General features: G+C 36.7%; 1 protein-coding gene across 5 annotated transcripts in view; it reads right to left on the bottom strand.

Moving 5' to 3' along the window:
* Positions 1 to 12,605, bottom strand: part of PLA2G4A (phospholipase A2 group IVA) — a 160,033-nt gene that overhangs the window by 70,996 nt on the left and 76,432 nt on the right. For 4 of the 5 annotated variants that reach the window (XM_011509642.3, NM_024420.3, XM_047422599.1 and 1 more), the window contains 2 exons: positions 10,984 to 11,021; positions 6,597 to 6,738 (listed from right to left, as the gene is read on the bottom strand). The exons of the other annotated variant lie outside the window; for it this stretch is intronic. In XM_011509642.3, coding sequence (XP_011507944.1) covers positions 6,597 to 6,738; positions 10,984 to 11,021 — 180 coding nt within the window. The remainder of the gene's footprint in view (positions 1 to 6,596; positions 6,739 to 10,983; positions 11,022 to 12,605) is intronic. 5 annotated transcript variants of the gene reach the window in all.

Raw genomic sequence — 12,605 nt, 5'->3', positions numbered from 1 at the left:
CACTCACCTAGGGCAAGAGTCACTTGAAGAATTGTTAGGCCGGTACTTCTACGTCTCACACTTGCCAGCCTTTGCCAAAGCAGTAGCACAACTGTGCATTACATGCCGACAGCACAATGCGAGGCAAAGCCCCACTGTTTCGCCCCACATACAAGCTTATGGAGCAGCTCCTTTTGAGGATCTTCAGGTGGATTTCACAGAAATGCCAAAATGTGGAGGTAACAAGTATTTGCTGGTTCTTACGTGTACTTACTCTGGGTGGGTGGAGGCTTATCCAACACGAACTGAAAAGCCCTACAAGGTAACCCATGTGCTTCTCCAAGATCTTATTCCTAGGTTTGGACTGCCCTTATGAATCAGCTCAGATAACGGGCCGGCATTTGTGGCTCACTTGGTACGGAAGACAGCAAAGGCATTAGGAATCACTTGGAAGCTACATACCGCCTACTGACCTCAGAGTTCCGGAAAGGTGGAGCGAATGAATCGGACTATCAAAAATAGTTTAGGGAAAGTATGTCAGGAAACAGGATTAAAGTGGATACAGGCCCTTCCTATGGTATTGTTTAAAATTAGATGCACTCCTTCTAAGAAAACAGGATACTCCCCTTAAGAAATACTGTATCATAGGCCTCCTCCTATACTAGGAGAGCTTCCAGGCACTTCCCAAGAGTTAGGTGAATTGAATTACAGCGACAGCTACAGGCTTTAGGAAAAATTACACAAACAATCTCAACTTGGGTAAATGAGAGGTGTCCCATCAGCTTATTCTCCCCAGTTCACCCTTTCTCTCCAGGTGATCGCGTATGAATCAAGGACTGGAATGTAGCCCCTTTGCGGCCACGGTGGAAAGGACCTCAGACCATCATCCTGAACACCCCCACAGCTGTAAAGGTAGAAGGAATCCCACCCTGGATCCACCACAGCCGTGTGAAACCTGCAGCCGCTGAAACCTGGAAGGCAAAACCGAGCCCGGACAACCCCTGCAAAGTGACTCTGAGGAGGACGACAAGCCCTGCTCCAGTCACACCCAGAAGCTGACTGGTCTATGCACAGCCGAAGCATGAGGAAAATTATCATGGGATTCATTTTCCTTATAATTTGGACTTGTATAGTAGACACTTCCACTGATTTTCCCTGCATGGAGGACTGCTCTCAGTGTATACATCAGGTTACCGAGGTAGGGCAACAAGTTAAAACAATTATTCTGTTCTATAGTTACTATGAATGCCTAGGAACTTTAAAAGGAACATGTTTATATAATGACACTCAGTACAGGTATGTAGCCCAGGAAACGACAGACCAGATGTGTGTTATGACCCCTCTGAGCCTCCCATGTCCACTGTTTTTGAAATAAGATTAAGGACTGAAGACTGGTGGGGACTCATAAATGATACAAGTAAAGTATTAGCCAGAACAGAAGAAAAAGGGGTGCCCAAACGCATAATCTTGAAATTTGATGCCTGTGCTATCATTAATAGCAATAAGCTAGGAAGGGGATGTGGCCATTTTAGTTGGGAAAAAGGCTATATGACCAAAAATAAGTACATTTGTCATGAATTAGGACTGTGTGGAAATGAATGTGGATACTGGTCTTGTGTCATTTGGGCCACTTGGATAAAAAAATGAAAAGGATCCAGTCCACCTTCAGAAAGGAAAGAATGACCCTTCCTGTACTAAGGGACAATGTAACCCCTTAGAGCTAGTGATAACCAATCCCCTTAATCCTCACTGGAAAAAAGGGGAGCGTGTGACCTTAGGAATCGACAGGGCCAGACTGGATCCTCGAGTAAATATCTTGGTTCGAGGAGGAGAAGTTTACGAACGCTCTCCTGAGCCAGTGTTTCAAACTTTCTATGATGAACTAAATGTGCCAGTACCAGAAATTCCAGGAAAAACAAGAAATTTGTTTTTGCAACTAGCCGAGTGTGTAGCCCAGCCTCTCAATGTCACTTCATGTTATGTCTGTGGAGGAACCGTAACAGGATATCAATGGCCATGGAAAGCCCGAGAATTAGTACCTGTAGACCCAGTTCCTGATGAATTCCTGGCTCAAAAGAATTACCCTGATAATTTCTGGGTCCTAAAACCCTCAATTACTGGACAATATTGCATAGCTAGAGAAGGAAAAAAATTCACTCACCCCGTAGGATGACTTAGTTGTCTGGGACAGAAACTGTATAATGGTACCACAAAAACAGTCACTTGGTGGAGCTCAAATCACACAGAGAGGAATCCATTTAGTAAATTTCCAAAGCTGCAAATCGTGTGGACCCACCCGGAGTCCCACTGGGACTGGACAGCCCCCACGGCATTATACTGGATATGTGGGCATACAGCTTCCAATAATACAACTACCAGTGGGCAGGTAGTTGTGTTATTGAAACTATTAAACCATCTTTCTTCCTACTGCCCATAAAAACAGGCAAATTCCTGGGCTTCCCTGTCTATGCTTTCCGTGAAAAGAGAAGCATAGCTATAAAAAATTAGAAAGATAATGAATGGCCCCCTGAGAGAATCATACAATATTATGGGCCTGCTACTTGGGCACAAGTTGGCTCGTGGGGATACTGGACCCCCATTTACATGATCAACCGAATCATACAGTTACAAGCTGTCTTAGAAATAATCACTAATAAAACCGGCAGAGCCTTGACTATTCTGGCCCGGCAAGAAACTCAGATGAGAAATGCTATCTGTCAAAATAGATTGGCCCTTGACTACTTGCTAGCAGCTGAAGGAGGGGTCTGTGGGAAATTTAACCTTACTAATTGCTGTCTACACATAGATGATCAAGGGCAAGTAGTTGAAGACATAGTTAGAGATATGACAAAACTGGCACACATGCCCGTGCAAGTGTGGCATGGATTTGATCCTGGGGCCATGTTTGGAAAATGGTTCCCAGCACTAGGAGGATTTAAAACTCTTATAATAAGAGTTATAATAGTAATAGGAACCTGCTTACTGCTCCCTTGTTTGCTACCTGTACTTCTTCAAATGATAAAAAGCTTCATCGCTACTTTAGTTCACCAAAATGCTTCAGCACAAGTGTACTATATGAATCACTATTGATCCGTCTTGCAAGAAGACATGGGTAGTAAAAATGAAAGTGAGAACTCCCACTATTGAGTGAGAGTCTCAAATGGGGAGGATATAAGGGAGGAGACCACCCCTCATATTGTCTTATGCCCAATTTCTACCTCCAAAGAAAGAAGAAGTAAAAACTAAAAGGCAGAAATGAAATCCACAAGCAGACAGCCCAGCACCACACCCTGGGCCTGGTAGTTAAACATCAACCCCTGACCTAATCAGTTATGTTATCTATAGATTACAGATATTGCATAGAAAAGCACTGTGAAAATCCCTGTCCTATTCTGTTCTGTTCTAATTACTGGTGCATGCAGCCCCCAGTCATGTACCCCCTGCTTGCTCAAATGATCACGACCCTCTCAAGCTGACCCCCTTAGAGTTGTGAGCCCTTAAAAGGGATAGGAATTACTCACTCAGGGAGCTCGGCTCTTGAGACAGGAGTCTTGCCGATGCTCCCGGCCAAACAAACCCCTTCCTTCTTTAACTCGGTGTCTGAGGGGTTTTTGTCTGTGGCTTGTCCTGCTACACTAGCACTTTGGCAGGCAGAGGTGGAAGTGTTGCTTGAGCTCAGGAGTTTGAGACCAACCTGGGCAATATAGCAAGATCCCCATCTCTAGAAAGAAAAAAACATATATATATAAATTTTCTGGGTGTAGTGGCATGCACGCATAGTCCTGGCTACTTAGGAGACTGAGGCAAGAGGATCACTTAAGCCCAGGAGTTTGATGATGCAGTGAGCTATGATTGTGCTACTGCACTCCTGCCTGGGCAACAAAGCAAAACCCTGTCTCAAAAAAAAAACACAAAAAAACAAAACAAAACAAAAGATGCAGGATTGAAGAGAAGCCTCTCTTTTTAAAATAAACTTTAATGAAGGTTTCCTTAGTTTCCTTTAAGCAAAAATTCCCCTTAAGCAGCATCTCATCTTAGAGTCTGCTCCCATAACAACACAAGTCACTATAGCATCAGTAGGTTGGCTTTTGAACCCTACCCCCACCTAAAACATATTTGCAAATCTGCAACCACATGTGGGACAGGGGTGATCATTTGGCTCCCTTACTCAGAATTTATGTCTCATTTCCAACTGTATCCTGCCCTTAATTTGCAATAATCTCAAATTCCTACAAGAATGAATTCCAAGAAATTAATTTATTTATGAAATTATTTTATGAAAAACTTAATGAAATTAATTCCTACGAGAAATAATTCAAGAGTGTACAAGACTATGCACATATATGTTTACTTATGTATTTAAAATATTATTTTTATGAAAATAAATTATATTCATTTGACATATTCAATTAACAAGAAAGCTCAACTAAATAAATAAGTAAATAATTACCTGATACGTCACTAACAAGAAACTTCATTATCATTTGATGAGCATCATTGTGGCAATTAATCTTTGTAGATTTCAGATAGAAAGATGGACAGATATATAAAGAGAGAAATAGATAAGCAGATTAGATAGGTGATTGATGGATACATAGATGAAATAAATGAATGGATAGATAGCCAAAAAGTAGATTTTAAGATATATGATTGAGTAATAAAGGATATTACATTTTACTGGAATTTAAGGAAAGAAAAAAACTATAATTGAAGGATTTTACTTTCAATATTTGTTTATATTTATATTCCAGTATTTCTCCATAATTAGGATTATAAATCATTTCTTCAACTTAATGATTTTTATAATCCTAATTATAGAGAAATATAGAATACAAATATATTATAAACAAATATTGAAAGTACGATCCTTCAATTTGGTCAATTTTAAATATTGTTTAACTCTACTACAAAATATAAAGAATTTGGAATATTTTCTTTTTTCTCCCCATCACATTTGCCTGCATTTATTAATTCCATTATCATTAACAAGATTTATGGCATTTTCTTCTTGTTCGATAATGATGATTTCCACAGTTTAATTTTAGCCTACATTTAAATTAAGTAATTTTAATCCTTTTATATTTGAGGCTAAACTTTTCCTATTGATAAAATCAACACTCCTTTATGCGTAAGTATGCCTTATATATATATTATATACAAATACATACATACACTTATATTAGATACATATATATGTATATATATATATACATATATATATAAGTATACATATATATATACTTATGTATATATATACATATATATGTATATATATGTATATATAAATATACATATATATGAATAAGTAAATAAAATGTGGTACATCCAGACAATGGAATATTATTTAGTACTAAAATGAAATGTGCTATCCAAACCATGAAAAGACATGGAGGAAACTTATATTCGTATTACTAAGTGAAAGAAGCCTATCTGGAAAGGCTACATACTGTATGATTCCAACTATACTACATTAGGCAAACTAACAAAAGGCAAAGCTATGGAGACAGTAAAAGTATCAGTGGTGCAGGGGTAGGGAGGAGAGATGATAGGTGGAGCACAGAGGATTTCTAGGACAGTGAACTACTGTGTATGATACTATAATGGTGGATGCATGTCATTACACATTTGTCCAAACCCCATAAAATGTAGACCACCAACAGTGAGCCTAGCGTAAACTATGGACTTGGATGATAATGATGTGTCAATGTGGGTTCACTGATTGTAACAAATGTACCACTCTGGTGTGGGATGTTGATAGTTAGGGAGTATAATGGTTAATTTTCTTTATTAGCCTGACCAGACTAAAGGATACTCAGATCACTAGAAAAACATTCTTTCTGGGGGTGCTAATGAGGGTGTTTTCCAAAGAAAAACAAGTGAATCAGCACACTGAGTAAAGACCCACCCTTGCCAATGGGTGCGCACATCATTCCATCCTTGGAGGGCCTGAGGAGAACAGAAAGGTGGAAGGTGGGCAATTGTCTCTCTGTCCTTGAACTGAGACATCCCTTTTCTCCTGCCTTTAGACATTGTTGCTCCGGGTTCTCCTACTTTCAGACTTCAAGACTCCCACCTCCCCCTCCAACTGCCCAGCCTCTGACTGGGAGTTACTCCACTGGTGCACCTTTGTCTTGGACTAAATTGCACCACGGGCTTTCCTGGTTCTTCAGCTTGCAGAAAGCATATCGTGGGACTGCTTGGCCTCCATAATCATGTGAGCCAAACTTCATAATAAATCTCCTCATATCTACTGTGTATATCTTTTGGTTCTGTTTCTCTGGAGAACCTGACTAAACTTGGGAGGTTGTGCAGGGAGAAGAAGCATATTGGAACTCTCTGTGCTTTTGGCTCAATTTTATTGTGAACTTAACACTGCTCTAAAATATAAAGTAAAAATAAAACTAAAAACTATAGCTGATAAATATTACCAGCTAGGGCACCATTTGTGATGACCTTCCTCAAAGAGTTTTCATTTACAAATCACTTACCTTACCTTAAAAAACTAAAGGAATAATGCTCAATCTCAATATTGCCATATTTGGGTAAAATTATTGGGGAAATTGTCCAAGCTAAATTATTATTAAAGTATAGTAACACTTGAAAAATTTCCAACTCACATCACGTGCAGAATGCAATCCTTCACTATTCTTTGGACCCAAGAGTTTCTTCATGCTCTCCCTTATGTGTTCTTTTCTCTGTTGTCTGAAAGTCTTCTCCTGATCACACAGAGCCATACTAAATCGTAGGTCTGGGCATGAGCTGTAATACCAAACAGATAAAGTCATGAGCCAGTGCTCCCAGTGGTCTGGTTTTCCATCCAGGTAGCTTTTCCAGGTCCCTAGGAGCTACACTGATATATGCTGACTGCTTCCCTCAAGCCATTTCCTAAGAAGGGACCTAAAATAAGAGGATAAAATGATGGCTATCTTAAAGCAGCATTTTCCACAGCATGTTTTCAGAGAAAAAGGACTTTCCAATGCTTTAGATAAAATAAACGAGCAAACAAACAGCCTCTGATAAGTTGAATATTATAACAAAGACTTGGAAGGGCTTCAGTAAAGAACCCTGTTTATATTTGTTTGGCACAGGATATCCCAAACTTACTTGACCAAGAATTCCTTCCCTTATCTCTCCACCCTTCACTATTCCACCATCATAATTACTTTCTAACATCCCAAAGAGCCAGCATTCTGAGGAACATACTTGCAGAAATATTGTCTTAATTAATTGCCTTGTCTAATGGATGCCCCCCTCTAACAAAGAAAGGAACTTCTAATCACAGAACTTGAGATAACCATAAATGAGTTTACCACTAGAGGACTTTAGAACCCTTAAATTATATATACTTTATCTTGCTAATGAAGGCAGTAGCAATTTCTCTACACTATGCCAGAAGTCACATTAGGTATTACGTATGAATCATTGCAAGAACGATGGGAGTATCACTACATATTATTATACAATATATTATTATATATTGCAGCTTTATAAATTAGAAAACTAATGCCCTGAGAGGTTAGGATCACAGAGTAAACATGTGATGTACTTTCACCATGCAACATATAAGACATATCTTAATACTGAAGTCTAAATACCAACTACTGAATTTAAAAATACTTTTTAAAAATCTGTCAGCCTATGTTGGAGTGTGAATAAATCCAAAAAGCAGAAGTCAAGAATTATCACCAATAAAATATTTGTCTCTTTACCATTCATAAAAATCCTTACCTTAATTGTAAATCAATTTTAAATCTCATTTCTGTTAGTTCAGTATATTTTTTCCTTGTAAAATACAGAAAGAGACCAAGCCTCTGAGCTATGTTCTTTATGGCTATATTTGACCATTACAAATAATAGTTTAATTACTACTTCCCAAAGGACAAATATAGGTACCTCACAAAAGAGAAAGCAGAATTAATAACAAAAAAGTTTAATTTCACTAGTGAATTTAAATGATACTGTTATTAAAATAATTGATATTAAAATATTTTAAATACTTATTTTCTAGTCCTAGAAAGGAAAAATAACACTAATATTCTCATGCATCCATTTTGGGAATATAAGTTTGTTAAAAAGCAATTAAGCAGTATTCAAATTTGGCATATTAGCAATATGGAATGTTCAAAAATAATTAGAACATAGATTCCTTTTGGCCTAATAATTCTACTTCTGGAAACCTATCTTAAGGGAAGTAACCAAAAACTTTTTAAAGATCATTTAAAGAAACGGTTGTTGAACTGTATATAAAAGTATTGGGTTATACAATTATTAAATATGATTTTGGAAATCATGTAACGGGGGAAAAGAGTAAGACAGTGAGTTAACTTTTTTTTTTTTTTTTTTTTTGAGACGGAGTTTCGCTCCTGTTGCCCAGGCTGGAGTGCAATGGCACAATCTCAGCTCACCACAACCTCCGCCTCCTGGGTTCCAGCGATTCTCCTGCCTCGGCCTCCCAAGTAGCTGGGATTACAGGCACGCACCAATACACCTGGCTAATTTTGTATTTTTAGTAGAGACAGGGTTTCTCCATGTTGGTCAACCTGGTCTGGAACTCCTGACCTCGGGTAATCAACCCACTTCAGCCTCCCAAAGTGCTGGGATTACAGGCATGAGCCACCACGCCCAGCCAAATGAACACTTTTAAGTCTAATCTTGGGCTACACTCTTTTCTATTACTATTCTTTATAATGACATATTAGGTTAGGTATCTTCTAAACACTATAAGAAATTAAAGGCCGGGCGCGGTGGCTCATGCCTGTAATCCCAGCACTTTGGGAGGCCGAGGCAGGCGGATCACGAGGTCAGGAAATCGAGACCATCCTAGCTAACACGGTGAAACCCCGTCTCTACTAAAAATAGAAAAAAATTAGCCGGGCGTGGTGGCTGGCGCCTGTAGTCCCAGCTACTCGGGAGGCTGAGGCAGGAGAATGGCGTGAACCTGGGAGGCAGAGCTTGCAGTGAGCCGAGATCGCGCCACTGCACTCCAGCCTGGGTGACAGGGCAAGACTCCGTCTCAAAAAAAAAAAAAAAAAAAAAAAGAAAAGAAAAGAAATTAAAATCTTACCTGTACAGTTGCCTCTATGACACCTCCTCAACTTTATTTCCTTTTCTGTTCCTTAAAGGTAATCACTACTTAAATTTAATCTTCATCATTCCATATATGTTTATAATTTTACAATATATATTTATGTCCCTAAATAAGGTTTTCATTTTGCAGGTTTTTAGTAATTAGTGCAAATTATTTTTTCCAGTGAACACTTTTTTTTGAGAATCATCTGTGCTTATATAAATAAAAGTAATTCAAACACTTTTACTATTATGTAGTATTTCATTATATTAGTATACTATAATCTATTTATCCATAAATATTGAAATAATTTCCAATGTTTTGTAAACTATTACAAGCAGCACCATTATTAACATGTGGTATACGTGTATGAAAATTTCCTATTGTATATGTACTCTTTAGAAAGAACACCTCATTTAATCACAGTGATATGCTTAGAAAGTATTCTTTTCTTATTTTACCAGTGAGTAAATAAGTGATTAGAAATCTATCAATCACTAACATAATTAGAAAGTAGTAGAATTAAATCTAGGTCTTATTATTCTGGAAGTCATGTTCTCTGTAATATACTGTTCTGTTATATATAATTTTTAAAAAAGAATCATGATTTTTAAAAAATTTTTGAACAGTATAATGACCTAGATGTTTTAAGGATATCAGTTTTCAAAATCTGGATGAAAATTCAAAAAATTCTGAGTAATTTTATAAATTCAGTAGTAGAATTATGGTTAATTTACTTTTATGCATTATTTTTAACTTTCTAATTAATTCTTTCTTGCTTTTATGTTATTTTTAATAGAAGGCATGACATGGAAAATTTTTCTTTGAATAAATTGAATTTTTCTTTGAAAACAATTTCTGTTCTAGAGCTGACATAAATTAACATACAAAAAAAGAAATTTTTAATATTATAAAAATATGTCCTAATTACCTCAGTGAAGACTATTCCCCGCTAAACAAAAGCATTACTTCCATAGTCAGTCAAATAACAAGTGTTTCTAATCTCATGCCAAAATATACCACTTTTAAGCAAGAATGAACTTAATACAAAATAATGCAACACAATAACTTGGACTATCCTTTGATATTTGCTGACTTATATTAACAGGTTGTGGACATTTATGCCAATCACTTGCTAAGTCAAATCCACATGTTCCAGGGATCAAAATACAATAAACAAATGCCTAAACCCAATGTACCTATTATCATGCATTTGCCAAATCACCAGATGTGAAAATGTTCAATTTGTTTTCGTGGCATTTGTGTAAAATATGTACTAATAACTTTGGTCAAATCAAGTTCAACAGGGAAGTTCAAAGAGATGCAGAGAGGTTAAGGGAACTCATTATTACATCAGAGAACAGTTAGATCAAGGCAGACTTGCCTACCCTAAAATTCGCCGTTTGAAAATAAGTACATGATTCCCTAACGTTCAGTTTTGGAGGCCATTTTGAAAGAGCAGTATGCTTCATGGAACATTATTAGCAGTAGTCCAGCTGGGTCAGTATGAATAAAATCAGTCTCAATTTTAAAAATTATTATATAGTTTCTGTTTAAGTTCACTTCTATGTTTTTGAATATCTACCTGAATCAACAATAGAAGAGGCGCTTAAATAACTGCATTCATTTCTATGGGAATAGATGTACGACTAGAGGGAGGACTCTTTCATAAAGCACTTATTCTGACATTATTATATGACCATGAAACTATTGGAAAAATAAGCAAAGCATATTAAAATATAAGAATAATGAATATAAGAATATGTTTGTAAAGATTTTGTAGGTATTAACAGACAACTAAAGAAAAGCAAAGTAAACATAATGCACTTCTATATGTTCACAGCTGCAGAATTATATATAAAAAAATTCTTTAACAATTAAAATAAATTAGTGGATCACTCACAATATTTCTCATCCAACTAAATAAATGCACTTACCAAACTTCAAGAGACATTTCTAGAACCATTTCAGTGACCTAAAAAAAGACATGTTAATCAGATTAGGTCATAAAGTAGATATGTGTTTATATCATGGAAACAAACTCAAAATAAATTTTGAGTGCCAGATTATTTTTAATCAAAAAAACAAAACCCTAAAAATAAAAGTAACACAGCTCCATGAAGACCCTAAACTACAGGCGTATTTCAGTAAACCAACTTTTTGGTATTTTTTTTGTAAGTCTACTTAGTACGTCATTTTAGCAAACACAAGAATTATCTCTGCCTGGTTGTTTTCCTCCCTCAGTAAAATAAAGTAGCTCACCACAACTACTATTTACAAAATATAAAAAGTGCCTGAGATATAAAAACTACTGAGATGTTGTGTCTATTATTTAGGAGCTGCCTCAGGCCACAAAATCAGAAGCTGTAATGGCCCAGAGGTTAGAATCAACCTGGGTGAAAGTTCACACATGTATAATTGAGACAAGTGCAGGCTGTAGTAAGCTGAAAATACAACACCCATTCATGGCAGGCAGTAGGACCTAGGATCCAGCCAACTGTAGTTGACTCGGGAAACATCTACTAATGAGATCTGGAGCCTCTGGTTTTTATTTATTTCAACACTATTTGAGCCTATCAAACATATTGAAGGAGGACATCCTGCCAGAGAGACAATTTTTGTGTAAAGGAAAGAAAATGATTAATATCCACTTAAGATATTAAGAGTTGTCTTTCCAGAGACTGTAAATCTGTTGTACAGAAAGGCCTTTTCAATATTATCCCTGGCGTTAGCTATGAAAAATGTAATTGTAGATTGTTATAAGAACCAAATGAGAAAATGCTTTGAAAGTTGCTACACAGTTGTAAATGTGTTATTATTTTTATTGTATCAGGTTACCATAAGAACATAGATAGAGCTAACTTGTTCAATAACTTCAAGTAGAACAGAACTAGGATATACCTCTTGAAATGTGCAGAGGAAATTTTTAGAATCAACATAAAATGCTATAGATTATTAGATTTACCCTCTTGAGTTTCAAGGAAGGGAAAAACACAGACTAGAAGGAGGTTTCCAAAAAGGTTAAAATAAGTTCATAGATGATTGATTCTCAGTGCTGAATTTTATGAGTAAGCAAAAGGTATTGAAAACATCTATACAAAAATTTGCCTCTCTCACTAAACTGTAAGCTCTGTCTTATATAGGTTCCTATTACTAGTCCATTGTATAGTATTTGGCATACAACAGATAACACATATTTGTCAAATTACTGTTCGTTTGTGTGTGTGTGTGTGTGTGTGTGAGGAGGAGGAGTGCATCAGGCAATCTTTTCTCATCAAGAAATAGCTGATTACTATTGGGGACAAAATCATGGGATGGTCTGACCCAGAAAACAGTTCCTATATATAGAATTCTATGAGCATTCTTTCATCAAAGAAGCATATACATATTTTTAAAGTTAATAAACTAATTGAGAATCCCAGGACACATGGAATAATGCATGCTCAGATGAATGTAACGTCAAAGGGTGATTGGCTACCAAACAGACAATGCAATTTAGAAGAAAGCAAGATATGGGTAAAGCATGGTCTTTTTTTTTCAAGAAATACATAAAAATTGC

Source organism: Homo sapiens, chromosome 1 (assembly GCF_000001405.40).
Source record: "Homo sapiens chromosome 1, GRCh38.p14 Primary Assembly".
NCBI lineage: Eukaryota > Metazoa > Chordata > Mammalia > Primates > Hominidae > Homo > Homo sapiens.
The sequence above is the reverse complement of the archived record's forward strand: the minus strand, read 5'-3'. Positions and strand labels throughout refer to the sequence as shown.